Raw genomic sequence first — 17,930 nt, 5'->3', positions numbered from 1 at the left:
GACAGGGGAAAAGTGCTTTGCAGGAAGTATCTTACAATATGGAGTTTGATAATATCAGTTCCTGGAGCTTCATTTCATCTCATCACTGTAGCCCAAAGAATATCCCCTCAAACTCCTTTTGTTACGGTTACTCTCAGAATTAAGTTGTCAGGGATTCCTCACTTCACTTAACTCTGTACTTCATCTCTCCACTTACCACTGCACTCAAATTCCTGAGGGAATGCTCATGCTCCAGCTAAACACCATTCTTTGTTTCTGACCAGAGCTGCCACTCTGAATTTTGTCTTGATTCTCTTCCCTTTCTGTTGAACTAGGCAACTCATTCTAGACGAAAAATAAGGCTTACTTCTCTCCCTTAAAGTTTTCACCTACCTCTAAGTAGTCAGATCTTTGCTTCCTTTCCCTAGACCCTGTTACTTCTTTTAACTTTTTATCTGAGGTGCCTCCTTAGCAGAAGCACAGTAAGCAGCAGGTTGTACCTCCCTAGGTCTAATCACTGTGCTCTAAATATGTCTGTAATGGAGAAGCGGGCCTTGGGAGCTGAGACAGCTCCTAGGGAGAAAGCTCAATTCAAGGGGGAAAGTGGGGACCAGTGGTAGGTACCAGAGGTTCCATCGTAAGAAACAAATAAGATGCTCATTAGCAAGGAGAAAATTGTCTCTCTCTTTTTTTTTTTTTTTTTTTAAGAGAGGCAGGGTCTTGCTCTGTCACCCAGGCTGGAGTGCAGTGACGCAAACTACTGGCTTAGGTGATCCTCCTGCCTCAGCCTCCCAAGTAACTGGGACTGCAGGCACACACTGCTGCACCCGGATGACAAGTATTTTTCTGTAGAGACGGGGTATTGCTTTGTTGCCCAGGCTGGCCTCAAAACACCTGGGCCGAAGTGATCCTCCAGCCTCAGCCTCCCAAGAAAATTCTTAATAATTATGGATTGAAATAGTTGATTAAGTAATGTGGTTTACTGAAACACTTCTTTCAGAATTGGTTGATCTCTCTCCGGTTTTTGCCTCTGTCTCATTCTCCGTGATGGGTTTATGGGATTTTTTTTCCCGCCCTCTTTGCAGCACTATTTTTTCTTCCCTTTTTCTCTATATCCGTCTTTTCCTGATTCCTTCTTTGTAATCGTTGAATGAACTGTTAATTAGAAAGTACAATTAACCATCACCTTTATCTAGTGTCAGAACATTTTCCTTTTTTTTTTTTTCTGAGACGGAGTCTCGCTCTGTCGCTCAGGCTGGAGTGCAGTGGCGCGATCTCGGCTCACGGCAAGCTCCGCCTCCCGGGTTCACGCCATTCTCCTGCCTCAGCCTCCCGAGTAGCTGGGACTACAGGCGCCCGCCACCACGCCCGGCTAGTTTTTTATATTTTTAGTAGAGACGGGGTTTCATTGTGTTAGCCAGGATGGTCTCGACCTCCTGACCTCGTGATCCGCCCGCCTCGGCCTCCCAAAGTGCTGGGATTACAGGCGTGAGCCACCGCACCTGGCCATGTGTCAGAACATTTTCATCACCCCAAAGGAGACCTGATACTTACGCTTTCCATCCCTGCCTCCCCTCAGCCCCTGACAACCACTAGTCTGATTTCTGTCTCTGTATCTTTACCTGTTCTGGATGTCTCACATAAATGGGATCATATAATGTATGACTTTTTGCAGTTCTCTAATGACACACGATGTTGAGCGTCTTTTCATATGCTTGCCATCTACATATCTTATTCAGTGAGGTGTTCAGATCTTTTGGCCCCCCCACTACTTTTTTGCCCATTTTTAAAATTGAGTTTTTTCCCTTATTTAAGAGTTCTTTATATATTTTGGTTACAAGTCCTTTATCAGGTGTGTGATTTGCATCTATTTTCTTCCAGACTGTGGCTTGTCTTCACATTCTTCAGCAGTGTCTTTTGCAGAGCAGAAGTTTTAAATTTTAGTGAAATCCATCTTACCAGTTATTTCTTTCATGGGTTATGCTTCTGGTGTTTTATTTAAGAAGTTGTCTTCACACCCACGGCTAGCTTAATGTTGTGTTATTTTCTAGCAGTTGTATAGTTTTATGTTTTACATTTAAGTCTGTAATACATTTTGAGTTAATTTTTGTGAAAAGTGTAAGGCTCGTGTATAGATTTATTGATGCAGGTGGATATACAGTTGTTCTAGCACCATTTGTTGAAATGACTGTCCTTTTACCATCGAATTGCCTTTGCTCCTTTGTCAAAGACCAGCTGACTATATTTGCATAAGTTTATTTCTGGCCTCTCTGTTCATCTATTTCTCTGTTCTTTGGTCAGTACCACACTGTCTTGGTTCCTGTAACTTTATTTATGTCTTGAAGTTCAGTAGTGTCAGTCTTCCACCTTTGTTTTTCAGTATTGTATTGGCTATTCTGGATCTTTTGCCTTCCCATGTAAACTTTAGAATCACTTTGTTGGTATCCACAAACCTAGTGAGTATTAAGTGATAACTCATTGTGGTTTTTTATTGGATTCTCCTAGCAACTAATGATGTGCATCTTTTCATGTGCTGATTTGCTATTGGGAGAAATATCTATTTCATTGCTCATTGAGAAAAATTTTAATTACATATATATATATATATATATATATGTATAAAATAATAATTATTTTTTTTTGAGATGGAGCCTCGCTTTGTTGCGCAGGCCGGAGTGCAGCGCTGCAGTAGTCTCGGCTTACTGTAACCTCCGCCTCCTGGGTTCAAGCTATTCTCCTGCCTCAGCCTCCAGGGTAGCTGGGATTACAGGTGCACACCACCAGCCCCTGCTAATTTTTTTGTATTTTTAGTAGAGATGGGGTTTCACCATGTTGGCCAGGCTGGTCTTGAACTTGTGACCTCAAGTGATCCACCTACCTCAGCCTCACACTGGGATTATATGCGTGAGCCACCGCACCTGGCAGTTTTAAAATTTTAATTGTAAAATACTCATAGAATTTATCCTCTTACCCACATATATATGTGTGTATATATATTTAAGAGATAGGATCGCACTCTGTCACCTAGGCTGGAGTGCAGTGACACAATCATAGCTCACTGCAGTCTCGACCTCCTGGGCTCAAGTGATCCTCCTGCCTTAGCCTCCTGATTAGCTGGGACTACAGGCACTCACCATCATACCCAGGTAATATTTTGATTTTTTGTATAGACAGGATCTCACTCCGTTGCCCAGGCAGGTCTTGGAACTCCTGGCCTCAAGTGATCCTCTTGCGTTGGCCTCCCAAACTGCTGAGATTACAGGCATGAGTCACTGCTCCCAGTCACTTAATTTTTTTTTTCTTTTTTTGAGGCAGGGTCTCACTTTGTCACCCAGGCTGGAATACAGTGGCATGACCTCAGCTCACTGCAGCCTCAACCTCCCAGGTTCAAGCTATTCTTCTGCCTCAGCCCCCCAAATAGATGCAACTACAGGTGCCCGCCACCACAGCTGGCTAATTTTTTTTTTTTTTTTTTTTTTGAGACAGAGTCTTGCTCTGTTGCCCAGGCTGGAGTGCAGTGGCGCAATCTCGGCTCACTGCGAGCTCCACCTCCCGGGTTCACGCCATTCTCCTGCCTCAGCCTCCCGAGTAGCTGGGACTACAGGCGCCCTCCACCACACCCGGCTAATTTTTTGTATTTTTAGTAGAGACGGGGTTTCACTGTGTTAGCCAGGATGGTCTCAATCTCCTGACCTCGTGATCCGCCCACCTCAGCCTCCCAAAGTGCTGGGATTACAGGCGTGAGCCACCGCGCCTGGCTGCTCACGCCTGGCTAATTTTTGTATTTTTTGTAGAGACGGGATTTCGCCATGTTATCCAGGCTGGTCTTGAACTCCTGAGCTCCTAAGTGATCTGCCCACCTCAGCCTCTCAAAGTGCTAGGATACAGGTGTGAGCCACCAGCCCTGCCTATCTTACCCACTTTTTTTTTTTTTTTAATTGAGAGAAGGTCTCTGTCACCCAGGCTGGAGTGCAGTGGCCTAATCTTGGCTCACTGCAACCTCTGCCTCCCAGGCTCAAGTGATCCTCCTACCCCAGCCTCCCAAGTAGCTGGGACCACAGGCGCATGCCACCCCACTTGGCTAAATTTTTTGTATTTTTAGTAGAGATTTGGTTTCACTATGTTGCTCAGGCTGGTCTTGAACTCCTGACTTCAAGCTAGCCACCTGCCTCAGCCTCCCAAAGTGCTGGGATTACAGGCATGAGCCACCACTCCCGGGCTGTCTTGCTCTTTTTCTTTTTTTTGTGATGGAGTCTCGCTCTGTGGCCCAGGCTGGAGTGCAGTGGCACGATCTTGGCTCACTGTAACCTCCACCTCCCGGGTTCAAGTGATTCTCCTTTCTCAGCTTCCTGAGTAGCTGGGACCACAGGCTTATACCACCACGCCTGGCTAATTTTTGTATTTTTAATGCAGATGGGGTTTCACCATGTTGGCCAGGCTGGTCTCGAACTCCAGACTTCAGGTGATCCACCCACCTTGGCCTCCGAAAGTGCTGGGATTACAGGCGTGAGCCACCATGCCCTGCCTGTCTTACCCATTTTTAAGTGTAGCTTCAGTAGCATTACGTACATTCATATTGTAGTGTAACGAACCTCCAGAATGCTTTTCATTTTACAAAACTGGAACTCCATATCTATTAAATAACAGCTCCCACTTCTCTCTTCCCACAACCTCTGCAACTAACCTTCTGCTTTCTGTCACTATGAATTTGGCTACTCTAGGTACCTCATATAAGTGGAATTATACAGTATTTGTCCTCTTGTGACTGGCTTATTTCACTTAGCTTAGGTCCTCAAGGTTCATCCATGTTGTAGCATGTGTCAGAATTTCCTCCTTTTGGAGGGTGAATTACATTTCATTGTGTATATATACCACATTTTATATGTACGTTCACCCATTGATGGATACTTGGATTGCTTCCATCTGTTGGCTATTGTGAATAATGCCACAGTGAACATGGGTGTTCAAATAAAATCTCTTCAAGACCCTGCTTCCAATTCTTCTGGGTACATACCCAGAAAACGAATTACTAGATCATTTGGTAATTCTGATTTTAGGTTTTTAGAACAACCATATTGTTTTCCATAGCAGCTACACCATTTTACATTCCAACCAACAGCATGCAAGGCTTCTGATTTCTCCACTTCCTTGCCAACACTTGTTATTTTCTGCATTTCTGATAGTAGCCATCGTAGTGGTGGTGAGGTGATATCACATTATGGTTTTAATTTATGTTTCCCTAATGATGAGCATTTTTTCATATGCACATTGGTCATTTGCATATCATCTTTGGAGAAATGTCTATTCAAGTCCTTTGTCCATTTAAAAATTGTTATTTTAGCCGGGCCCAGTGGCTCACGCCTGTAATCCCAGCACTTTGGGAGGCCGAGGCGGGCGGATCACGAGGTCAAGAGATTGAGACCACGATGAAACCCCGTCTCTACTAAAAATACAAAAAATTAGCCAGGCGCAGTGGCAGGCGCCTGTAGTCCCAGCTACTGGGAAGGCTGAGGCAGGAGAATGGCGTGAACCCGAGAGGCGGAGCTTGCAGTGAGCCAAGATCACGCCACTGCACTCCAGCCTGAGCGACAGAGCGAGACTCTGTCTCAAAAAAAAAAAAAAAAAAAAAAAAAATTATTTTATGTTTTGTGTTGTCAAGATGTATGAGTTCTTTATATATTCTGGATGCTAGACCTTTATTAGATACATAATTTGCAAACATTTTCTTCCATTTTGTGGATTGTCTTTTCATTCTGCTGAGAATATCTTTCGATGCACAAGTGTTTTTTAATTTTGCTGAAGTCCAGTTTATCTTTTTTTCTTTTGTTCCTTTCACTTTCGATGTCATAGCTATGAAACCATTACCAAATCCAAGGTTTGGAAAATTTACCTCTACGTTTTCTTCTTAGAGTTTTAGACTTTTACCTCTTATATTTAGGCCTTTGATTAATTTTAGGTGAATTTTTATATATAGTATGAGGTAAAGGTCCAACTTCATTCTTTTACATGTGGTTATTACATTCTCTCAGCACCATTTGTTGAAGAGACTGCTCTTTCTTCATTGAATGGTCTTGGTTCCCTTGTAAAAAGTCACTTTATATGTGGGTTTTTTCTGAGCTCTCAGTTTTCTTCCATTGATTTATATGTCAGTCCTCATGCCAGTACCACAGCTGTGTTAGTTACTGTAGGTTTGTGGTAAGAAAAATTGGGAAATGTGAGTCCCCTAACTTCGTTTTTTTTTTTTTTTTTTGGCCATTTGAGGTCCCTTGTAATTATGTATGGATTTTAGGGTCAGCTTTTTCATTTTTGCAAAATCATTGGAATTTTGATAAGGTTGCACTGAATCTGTAGATTGCTTTGGGAAGTATTGCCATCTTCAAAATATTAAGCCTTCTAATTCATGAACACAGGGTGTCTTTTCATTTACTTCGTTCTTTAATTTCTTTTAACCCTGTGTATAATAAGTTTTGCACTTCCTTGGTTAAATGTATTCCTAAGTATGTCATTCTTTTTGATGCTTTTGCAAAAGGAATTGTTTTCTTTTTTTTCTCTGTCTTTCTCTCTATTTTTTTAGACAGGGTCTTGGCCAGGTGGGGTGTCTGACCCCTGTAATCCCAGCACTTTGGGAGGCTGAGGCAGGCGGATCACTTGAGGTCATGAGTTCCAGACCAGCCTGGCTAACTTGGTGAAACCCCATCTCTACTAAAAATATAAAAATTAGCCAGGTGTGGCAGCACACACCTGTAGTCCCAGCTACTCGGGAGGCTGAGGCGGGAGAATTGCTCAAATCCGGGAGGTGGAGTTTGCAGTGAGCTGAGATCATGCCACTGCACTCCAGCCTGGATGACAGAGCGAGACTTCGTCTCAAAAAAGAAAAAAAAAAAGAAAAGAGGGTCTCACTGCGTTGCCAAGGCTGGTCCTGAACTCCTGGCTTCAAGTGAGCCTCCTCCCTCTGCCTCCTAAAGTGCTGGGATTATAAGCCTGAGCCATTGGGCCTAGCCAGAAATTGTTTTCTTAATTTCTTTTTTTTCAGATTGCTCATTGCTAGTATATAGAAATGTAACTGAATTTCGTGTGTTGATCTTGTATGTTGCAACTGTGCTGAATTCCCTCAATGGCTTTTTGTCATTTGAATTAAATTTTCTTTTTCACAGACCTCTGACCTAGATTCGCACTTTCTTCAAGTTCTTTTCCTCTATCCCTCTTTTTTCTGTCTGTCTCATCTTAGTTGTCTGTTAGCAACATTTTCCCAACTTTTCTGCCAATTCCAATCAGTCAGTCATTCTGTCTCTTCCAATCAGTGAATCTCAGGTATTTATTGAGAACACAACACGTGTACAGTAGTGCTTTTCTAGGTGCCAGGAATGATAAAATATTGACTTGCTTTCTTCCCTGAAAAAAAAAATGTGTTGAGAAAACAAGTGAGCTGTATAGACAGTGATGCAAATTAGACTTGATAAATATGTAATTGATTGTTAGATGCACCATTATCTTCTGTTCCACTAAGAAAAATGCTGCAAATTAAAATAAGACATAACAATAGATACCGATTGTAAGTTGTATCTCTGTTTTGGAAATTTTTTCATATGAAAAAATATTTTATAGAATTAATATAATACAGTCTCAAATCAGGTGAGTAGTGTAGATAGAAATTAGTATGGATTGGAATAATAATAAAAATAGCTACCAAGTAACTGTAATGGTGTGCCAAATATTCTGTTAAACTATATGCATTATATAATTTTAATCTTTTTGGGAGCCATATGTTGTAAACATTTCCATTTTGCAAATAAGGAAACCTCTCTAGGTTAACGTGCTGTGTCATACCTAATAAATGCAAGACCGAATTCAGACTCAGGCACTGACCTTAGAACCTGCACCTCTAGCCATGCCAGGTGAATATAAGATAGGAGTTTTGAAGAATGGGTAGACGCTGGGGAGAGAGAGAAGCTAGCATTTTAAATGTATTTTGAAACAGTTATGGAAAACATTGAAAATGTACATGAAGTTGGAGAAAAAGTGAGAAAGCCTTTTGGATATTCTTTCTGCCTTTGTTTCAATGTTTTCCTTTTTCCTTCTTTCTGACCCACTTCCTTTTTCTTTACTTCTTCTTTTCCCTATTAATTGCTTATAAATAGACTTGCTGAATTTCTTGAATAATATCCATAAAATGTTCAACTCAGCTACTTATTTATTTTAAAAAATTATCAATAACAATGGCAACATCATTGATTAAGTACAGTTAAGTGTGAGACAGTGGACAACACTTTGTAAACCTGAGGATACTCCTCCATTGGGTATTATTACTCCCATTGTAATGTTGAGGATATAGGAACTCAGGAAGATTATTACATAATAATGTAATAATCTTGGAGTCTTTTGTCCAAAGTTTCCGAGTCAACTCCTGGATTAGCCAGTATTTGGACCAAGGTCTGTCTGGCTTGTAATTTCGTGATTTCATTATAGCATACTGACTCTCTGATAAGAACAGGAAATATAAAGTGAATTGAACATCATGCTTTTTCTAAGAACAAGATGTAATTTCTGTTTATATTTTAAGAGCCTGTTTATTCCTTTCTCTCCTTATGAGTACTTGGTTCTTGGAGCACCTCTGCATGTAAGATATAATACTGTGCAAGAAGAGATCTGTGATGTAATTGCAATGGCTTCTCCTGTGGATAGCATTTCTGATTTTGTTGTTGGGATTCCTCTCAGTTTGGGAGACAGGCTGGGAGAGATAGTAGGGTTTCCTGAGTCAGCTGCCTCTTGCTGGAGTTAGGACGAGAATTGGTTGACTGAATGTCTCTGGCCTCTTTCCACAGAGGAGGAAGCTTGACGCTGTCTATTACTATATGCGCAGTTTAGCTGCCAGCAACCCTATCCTGACTGCCAAGGAGAGTCTCATGAGCTTGTTTGAAGAGACCAAGCGGAAGGTGAGTGGGGATGTGGCAGAACCCTTCCTTCCTCGAATAGTGCATTTCCCTGAGTGTTGGTGTGCCCTAGCTCTGCGCACCGGCAGGATCGTAGCCAGTGAGGTTTATCCAAGGTGCAGTTATTGCTCAGTGTCTGTGTGTCCTCGGGGAATGACTCATAGTGTCCTTAAATGGTCCCATCAGACTGTGCTGGTGGGTAGTTGGTCAGCCCCTGTGCAGAACAAAACTGTGATCTTCAGGAGAGCTTTCAGGGGCCCTTGGATGTACATGTACGTGCTCTACAGCCTTCAGTCTACAGAATTAATAACTATATGAAACAAAGCAGATGACACTCTGCTACTTTGGGACTGTGGTACAGTATTTTTATTGTCAAATAAATACCGGTGAGGTGAGGCTTTTCTCTTTGTAAGCTGAGTCTCAGGAAAGTCTGAGCTCATGTGTGTTTTTTGTTTTTGAGACAGAGTTTCGCTCTTGTTGCCCAGACTGGAGTGCAGTGATGCGATCTTGGCTCACTGCAACCTCTGCCTCCCGGATTTAAGTGATTCTCATGCCTCAGCCTCCCGAGTAGCTAGGATTACAGATATGCGCCACCACACCCAGCTAATTTTGTATTTTTAGTAGAGACAGGGTTTCACTATGTTGGTCAGGCTGGTCTCAAACTCCTGACCTCAAGTGATCCGCCTGCCTCCGCATCTCTAAGTGCTGGGATTACAGGCGTGAGCCACCACACCAGGCCATGAGCTAATGTGTTTGTATGTTATATAGGCAGAACAGATGGAAAAGAAGCAACATGAGGAATTTGACCTGAGCCCTGACCAGTGGCGGAAAGGAAAGAAGTCTACTTTCCGGCATGTTGGAGATGACACCACTCGCCTGGAGATCTGGATTCATCCATCCCATCCACGGTCTTCCCAGGGCACTGAGTCTGGGAAGGATTCTGAGCAAGAGAATGGGCTGGGCAGCCTGAGTCCCAGTGATGTAAGTTCCTGAGAATGATGCAATGAGCCAAACTAGCTCAGTAAGCCTGGGTGCCCTGGTTCATACAGCTGTGAGGCACAGATACTTCCCACTGATTGCAAGGAAGACAAACCACTTGAGGCTCCCTGATGGTCTTTTCCCTTCTCATGTACGCTTCCTTTATCTTTATTATGTACTTCCCTCTCTCACCACTATGTGTCACTGCAGAATTTAGTAAAAGTAGGATTAGAATTTTTTTTTTTTTTTTTTTTTTTTTGCTGCTTTTTGTTCAGCGTCATCAACATGATGCTTTAGGATTCTATGTGGGATTTTGTACTTATCTTTTCCTCTTGGTTGACCTTATATTCCGAGAATGAACTAAAGTAGCATGGATAGGTTAGTTAGTCTGATTTGTGATGGGCTTTCTATGGGATATCCTCTTATAACTCTTGGGCGGGGACTTTTTCCTTTAAGCCAGGAGAAATGACAGTAGAAAAATCACAGGCTTGTTTAGAAGATTTCTCCTCTTCATTGACTCAGTAAGTAATTATCGACAGTGTGCCAGTCACTAAAGATAACAGTGAACAAGATCTCTTGCTGTCTCAGTGCATTCTAGTGGAGGACGCAAGAGACTTAACATTGTAATTACTTCTGTTTTTGGGGTGCACACCCAGTATATGAGAGCACATAGCCATGGGACCAAAGCAGCCATTGGTCAATTGAAGTATAAAGAACAAGTAGGAGTTAGCTTGAGAAGGAAAGGGAGGTGGTAAAGTGATTCCCAGGCAAAGGAAATAGCATATGCAAAGGGCTGAGGCTGGCTGGGGGAGAGAGAGCACGGTAGGTGGAAAACTGCAGTGGCTGGTTCGTTGCGCCTTAAGGGTAAAATTCACCCAGTGGGTGGTGTAAGCTGGGGCTAGATGTTGAAGGGTCATATGATAAATTATTTGACCTTTATCCTGAAAATAGTAGGAAGCTATTGGATGCTTTAAATAGGGGAATAACATCTGCTCTTCAGAAATAAACCCTGGCCGCTTTGTAAAATGTTTGGAGAAGAGTAAGACTAGAAATAGGAGACAAGGAGGGTGCTGCGGTAGTTCCAAGTGAGATATGAAAAAGACTTGAACCAAGAAATGGCTTTGGAGGTGGGAAGAAGTGAACAGACACAAGTCATATTATTACAGTAGAATCCAAAAGACTTGGTTGAACGTGGGGAGCTCAGGGAGAAGAAAGAGTCAAGGTCTGGTGTGGTGGCTCCCATCTGTAATCCCAGCACTTTGGGAGGCCAAGGCAGGAGGTTCGCTGGAGCCTAGGAATTCAGTACCAGCCTGGTCAACAAAACGAGGCTTCTGTCTCTGTAAAAAAATTTTCAAAATTGGCTGGGCATGGTGATGCGGGCCTCTAGTTCTAGCTACTCAGGAGTCTGAGGCAGGAGGATTGCTTGAGTCCAGGAGTTCAAGGATGTCATGAGCTATGATCCAGCGTAGGTGCCAGAGCAAGACCCTGTCTCAAAAAAGTCAAGAATGAGCCCAAGAGCGTCAAGGCTGCACCACTGCACTGCAGCCTGAGTGATGAGTGAGACTCTGCCTTCCAAAAAATAAATGAATACAATCAAAAACAGGGTCGGTCTCTGTTGCTCAGGCCAGAGTGCAGTGATGCGATCGAAATCCTGAGTTCCAGTGATTTTCCTGCCTCAGCCTCCTGAGTTGCTAGGACTACAGGCACATGCCACCACACCCAGCTAATTTTTTGTAGCGATGGAGACTTGCCCTGTTGCGCAGGCTGGTCTCAAACTCCTGGCCTCAAGCAGTCCTCCCGTGGCCTCCCAAAGATCTGGGATTACAGGCATGAGGTGTATCATGTCTGTCCCATTTTATTTCTAATTATACAAATAATAGATGAATATATTTTTGGTAAAAACTTTAAATTCTTGTAGGTAGACTACAACGTGGTAATTTGTTTTCTAAACTATTGATGAAACTATATATTTTTAGTTTGTACATCATCCTTGGGTAACTATTACCCTTAATTTTCTTTAAATTTAAATCTTTGAGTTTGAGCTTTTCATTTTAGGCTACCAGCCCTCGAAGAAATCTGCAGTTTCTGGCCTGACGCGGTGGCTTACGCCTGTAATCCCAGCACTTTAGGAGGCCGAGGCGAGCAGATCACAAGGTCAGGAGTTCGAGACCAGCCTGGCCAACATGGTGAAACCCTGTCTCTACTAAAAATGCAAAAAAATTAGCTGGGCGTGGCAGCGCACTCCTGTAATCCCAGCTACTCGGGAGGCTGAGGCAGGAGAGTTGCTTGAACCCGGGAGGCGGAGGTTGCAGTGAGCCGAGATCGTGCCACTGCACTCCAGCCTGGGCAAAGAAGCCAGACTTTGTCTCAAAAAAAAAAGAAAAAGAAATCTGCAGTTTCATAACTTTTCATTTATCTATCCAGGAAACCACACTGCCATTTTTACCTGCTTTCTTAGGCCCAAGTTAGCTTCCTATATTCTTTTTTTTCTCTCACAGTAGGTCCCAAGAGCTTAGCTTGCTTTCTCTGTTCCTTGGAACACACACATTGATAAGAAGTAAGCATTGAGGATAGAGAAATTAAAATAACCAAAAATGATTTTTAACCTCAAAGAGCACTTGGTCACGTGAGGAAGACATAGGTGTGTCATTATAGTTCCGTGTGGTAAGTACTGTGATAAAGGCAAGCATGAGAGGCCGTGGGAGCATGCAGTTGGAACACCTAATCCAGTCATGGTTAGGGAAGGCTGGGGCGAGGCCGCATTTTGCAGCTTAAAGATGTCGTAAAGGCATTTCTACTTGGAGGCATGAAAATGTGGATGAGGCATGGAGGCTTCAGGAACTGCGAGTAGTTCAGTATGGCTGGAGTCTAGAGTGTGAGAAGTTCTCCTGTGAGCGACTGGAGTCGTGCTTGACATGTTCCTTTCCTCTGTCCCCACATCCAGTCAGTACCACCTGGTATTAGGAGGTGGATACTGTTGAGTCCACCTCCTAATCGTAACTTGAAGCCATCCACTTCTCTCCTTTCTCATTGCTGCCATCGTAGTTCAAGCTATCACCATTTCAGTAATCCATATACTATGGAAAGAAGTTCATAATGGTCTTTTCAGATTTATTCCTGGTCCTCTTCTGGCCTTTCATTTTAGACAGTAACCCAAATGAATGAACTTCCAAATATCCATTTCTGATCATGCCACTGCCTTCTTGAAAGTGTTTAGTTATTTCTGTGTGCTCTTACAATCAGGTCTAAAATCCTCGACATAGTCCACTAGGCTCCTCATGATCTGGCTCCTGCTACTTCAAATCTTACACTTTTCATACTTTTCTTCCTTTGTTACTGTATTCCAGCCACACTGGCTTCTTCCTTGAAGGATCCAAGCTCTTTTCTGGCTCCTGGCTGTTGTTCATCTCTCTGCCCGCACCGCTCTTACCTCTCACTGGTATTTCTGCCTTTATCAGTCACTTTCTTTCTTACCCTTCAGGTCTCAGCCTAAATGTCACGTTTTCAAGGAAGCGTTTCCTGATCCCTGAGACTGGCCATTTCGCCTTTGTAATAACCACATTTCTGGTTTAAGTGCTTTTAAGTGTAGTTTTGTGCAGATCTTTCCCTTGCTAGATTGAAGGCCCTGTGAGAGTAGAGTCATATCTAGTGTGTTCACTTCTTTGTCCCCAGTGTCTGCATATGGAAGATTCTAAATAAATCTTAGTTGATACGCGAATGAGGGGAAGGGCAGCGAGGGATGAGGCTAGAGAAGATAGCAGGGGCCAGGTCCTTCATAAATATTTTGAAGTTTGGCTGTCAGGTATTGAGGGCTTTTAATTTTTTTGGAGTTGTGTTGGTCATGTTTAAAAATTGATATATAATAATTGTACATATTTATGGGCTACATGTGATATTTTTATACGTGCACAGAATGTGTAATGATCAAATCGGTATTTAGAATGTCTGTCACGTCAAACATTAGTCATTTAGGTACTAAGGATTTTAAGCAGAGGGATGATATAATTGGATTTCTATAATGATCACTCGTTCCAATACTTCCAGTACTGGAACAAATTTATTTTGTTTTAAAAGGAACTTTTCAAGTTGCATAACTAATAACAATTCATTGTCTCAACATTAAACAGTAATGTATATATAGTTTAGGCTGGGTACGGTGGCTCACGCTTGTAATGCCAGCACTTTGGGAGGCCGAAGCGGGCCAATCACCTGAGGTCAGGAGTTTGAGACCAGCCTGGCCAACATGGTGAAACCCCATCTGTACTAAAAATACAAAAAAGTTACCTGGGCATAGTGGTGTCTGCCTGTAATCCCAGCTACTCGGGAGGCTGAGGCAAGAGAATCGCTTGAACCCGGGAGGCGGAGGTTGCAGTGAGCCAAGATTGCACCATTGCACTCCAGCCTGGGCGACAGAGGGAGACTTTGTCTCAAAAAAAAAAAAAAAAGTATATATAAAGTGGCAGTCACTTGTATTCTTTCCTTCGGAGACATCACTATTAACTGATTGATGTCCTTCCAGACCTTTTTCTAAGCATTTATAAGTGTATACGTGTATGCACATACCTGTAAAAACATGAAATGCATTATAAAATTTTTTTTTGAGAGATAGGATCTCCCTCTGTTTCCCAGGCTGGGGTGCGGTGGCATGGTCACGGCCCACTGGAGCCTCTATTTCCTGGGCTCAAGTGATCCTCCTGCCTTAGTCTTCTGAGTAGCTGGGACTGCAAGCATGCGCCACCATGCCTGGCTAATTTTTTAAGAATGTTTTGTAGAGATGGGATTTCCTTATGTTGCTTAGGCTGGTCTCAAACTTTTAGGCTCAAGTGATCCTCCCACCTTTGCCTCACAAAATGTTTGGATTATAGGTGTGAGCCACCAAGCCTGGCTGAAATACATTTTTTAACAAAAAGGAGGATAGTACTATGTATAACAATCTGCAACTTACTTTTTAAAATTATTATTTGAACATAAATTATTCCTGCTATAATGCAATATATACATTCCTAAAAATTGCTGTGCTGTGCAAAATCATGCAATAAAAACCACACAGGGCTTATGCAGAAAATGGAGTTAGGAGCACAAACCTCAAAAACTTTCTCAGTGACATAGTGAAAAAGATAGGAGCCTGATTTAAAACTGTTGTACAATTTTATACATGTGAAATGGTTAAGAAATACGTAAATATGGCCGGGCGTGGTGCTTACGCCTGTAATCCCAGCTCTTTAGGAGGCCAACGCGGGCGGATCACGAGGTCAGGAGATCGAGACCATCCTGGCTAACACGGTGAAACCTCGTCTCTACTAAAAATACAAAAAGTTAGCCGGGCATGGTGGCAGGCACCTGTAGTCCCAGCTACTCGGGAGGCTGAGGCAGGAGAATGGCGTGAACCCGGGAGGCGGAGCTTGCAGTGAGCCGAGATCGCGCCACTGCACTCCAGCCTGGGTGACAGCGAGACTCTGTCTCAAAAAAAAAAAAAATAAAAAATAAATAAATAAATAAATAAATAAATAAATAAATGTGTAAATACTACATTAAACATAGCACTTTACCTTGAAAAAGACATAAAGTAGGCCGGGCGCAGTGGCTCATGCCTGTAATCCCAACACTTTGGGAGGCTGAGGCAGGCGGATCACTTGAGGTTGGGAGTTCGAGACCAGGCTGACTAACATGGAGAAACCCCATCTCTACTAAAAATACAAAATTAGCCAGGCGTGGTGGCGCATGCCTGTAATCCCAGCTACTCAAGAGGCTGAGGCAGGAGAATCACTTGAACCCGGGAGGTGGAGGTTGCGGTGAGCCGAGATTGTGCCATTGCACTCCAGCCTGGACAATAAGAGGGAAACTCCATCTCAAAAAAACAAAAAGACATACAGTTGGCATGTGGAAGTGGACTTGGGAAGGGTTACGGCTTGTGAGTTACTGTGAAGTGGTAGAAGGAGGGTTACTTAAAATTTGATGGACAGAGGCCAGGTGCAGTGGCTTACGCCTGTAATCCCAGCACTTTGGGAGACCGAGGTGGGTGGATCACCTGAGGTTGGAAGTTCGAGACAAGCCTGACCAACATAGTGAAACCCTGTCTCTACTAAAAACACAAAAAATAAGCTGGGTGTGATGACGTATGCCTGTAATCCCAGCTACTCTGGAGGCTGAGGCGGGAGAATCACTTGAACCTGGAAAATGGAAGTTGTAGTGAGCCAAGATCGCACCATTGCACTCCAGCCTGGGCAACGAGCAAAACTCAAAAACAAAAAAAAAACGTTTGCTGGACAGTTGTAACAGCAGATGTGGATAGGCCTGGCTCCTAACATGATCCTGTGGTGAACTGGGGTAGCTGTAGATGTTTGGGGTGTGTGCGTGTGTATGCTTTGTGTATTCCTGTGCAGCTTGATTCAACTGGATGCAGTTCTCTGTGTTACCTGGTGTTTCTTGTAAACAAAATCACACATAAGGAAAGGCAAAGTTTGTGTTATGCCCAAATTGTTCGTTTATGTATTTATGGCAATGAAACAAATTCTCATTTTCAAAATGAACATTATAGCAGAACTGGGTGATTAGCCTTAATTGGAATTGTTCCTTTGACAACTCCTAGAGAATTTCTAATACAGACTGCTTAAATTTAGATCCATGAGTAAACAGAAAGTTTGGCTTCAGGTGGTTGTTAGTAACAGTGGTAACATCCCAACTAGTCTGTTCTCTGCCAAGCATTTGCTTTGGATCTTTCTCTCTCTGAATGGTTGCAGGAGGTTAGCTTGTGGGTTGTTGGTTTTTAGTCTTGAGATGTGGTTTGGGTTGAACATCCAGCCTGGGGAGGGATTGCCAGCCTCAACTGCAAGTAGCATCCTATTGAGATTCACATTTCAACTCTTCCACCTGCCAGCCAGGACCCTCCAAATCCACGTTGCCAGGGTTCTGGGCATTTGTTATTTAGTGGCTATATCTTCTGCTGTTCTTCGTCTCCCTTTAGAAACGGGGTACTGCTTGTCAACTGGGTTGTTGCTGACAGTCAGGGAGTTAAGGATATTAAATTACAGCATCAGAAATCATTTTCACACTGAAAAGCAAGGGTCTCTGATAGAACTGCTGAGGATTTTTTAGATCTGATTGTTTTGTTATCAGCATCTTGAATAGAATGTAATACATGTCTGTCTGCTGGGGAAGAAAGCATATAGGATTGGGAGTGGTTGATAGATGATAGACTGATAGACTTATTTTAATTTTGTTTTGTTTTGTGACAGAGTCTCGCTCTGTCTCCCAGGCTGGAGTGCAGCGGCGTGATCTCAGCTCACTGCAGCCGCCACCTCCTGAGTTCAAGTGATCTTCCAGCCTCAGCCTCCTGAGTGACTGGGATTACAGGCACGCACCACCATGCCCAGCTGATTTTTGTATTGTTAGTAGAGATGGGGTTTCACCATGTTGGCCAGGCTGGTATTGAACTCCTGACCTCAAGTGATCCACCCACCTTGGCCTGCCAAAGTGCTGGGATGACAGGCGTCAGCCACCATGCCCGGCTCGTATTCTTTATATATGTAGGAAGGAGCACAACCCTTAAAACACTTCCTCAGTGACATAATTAAAAAGATAGGAACCTACATAATTAGGTTTCTACCTTTTTTATGCTCACGCCTATTTTTTTTTTTTTTTTTGCCCATGCTTTTTTATGCTTATTCCATCCATTATGCTTTGCTAAATATGTGGAGATAAGGTCTTGCTATGTTGCCTGGGATGGTCTCAAACTCCTAGGCTCAAGCAGTCCTCCCACCTCAGCCTTCCAAAGTGTTAGGAATACAGGTCTGAGCCACTGCATGTGGCCAATAGGTGTTTGTCTCTGAAACTTGAGTGAGTCTTCCTGCCGTGGAATGATTTGGTTTACCATTGCCAGCATTTTCTCCAAGCCACTGTGACTATTCCTGCAACATGCTTGGTGCTGATTGTAGCAAATAATGTCTTTAGACAAGAGAAATGCCATTGTATATTTGGCCAAGCTCTTGTCAAACCTTCCTTCTCCTTGGCCTCTTTGAATGTTTTGTGGTTCAGTCTGGACTG

At 43.0% G+C, this 17,930-nt stretch overlaps 1 protein-coding gene across 10 annotated transcripts in view; it reads left to right on the top strand.

Moving 5' to 3' along the window:
- SMG6 (SMG6 nonsense mediated mRNA decay factor) overlaps positions 1-17,930 on the top strand; it is a 243,947-nt gene that overhangs the window by 11,249 nt on the left and 214,768 nt on the right. For 9 of the 10 annotated variants that reach the window (XM_011523769.3, XM_047435696.1, XM_005256569.5 and 6 more), the window contains 2 exons: positions 8,802-8,912; positions 9,678-9,890. In XM_011523769.3, coding sequence (XP_011522071.1) covers positions 8,802-8,912; positions 9,678-9,890 — 324 coding nt within the window. Of the gene's footprint in view, positions 1-8,801; positions 8,913-9,677; positions 9,891-11,942; positions 12,108-17,930 lie in introns of those variants that run through there. The other variant, XM_005256570.4, reaches the window with a different exon arrangement.

The sequence above is a fragment of the Homo sapiens genome, chromosome 17 (genome assembly GCF_000001405.40).
Source record: "Homo sapiens chromosome 17, GRCh38.p14 Primary Assembly".
Taxonomy (NCBI): domain Eukaryota; kingdom Metazoa; phylum Chordata; class Mammalia; order Primates; family Hominidae; genus Homo; species Homo sapiens.
Note: the sequence above shows the minus strand (reverse complement) of the source record. Positions and strands in the feature narration are given on the sequence as shown.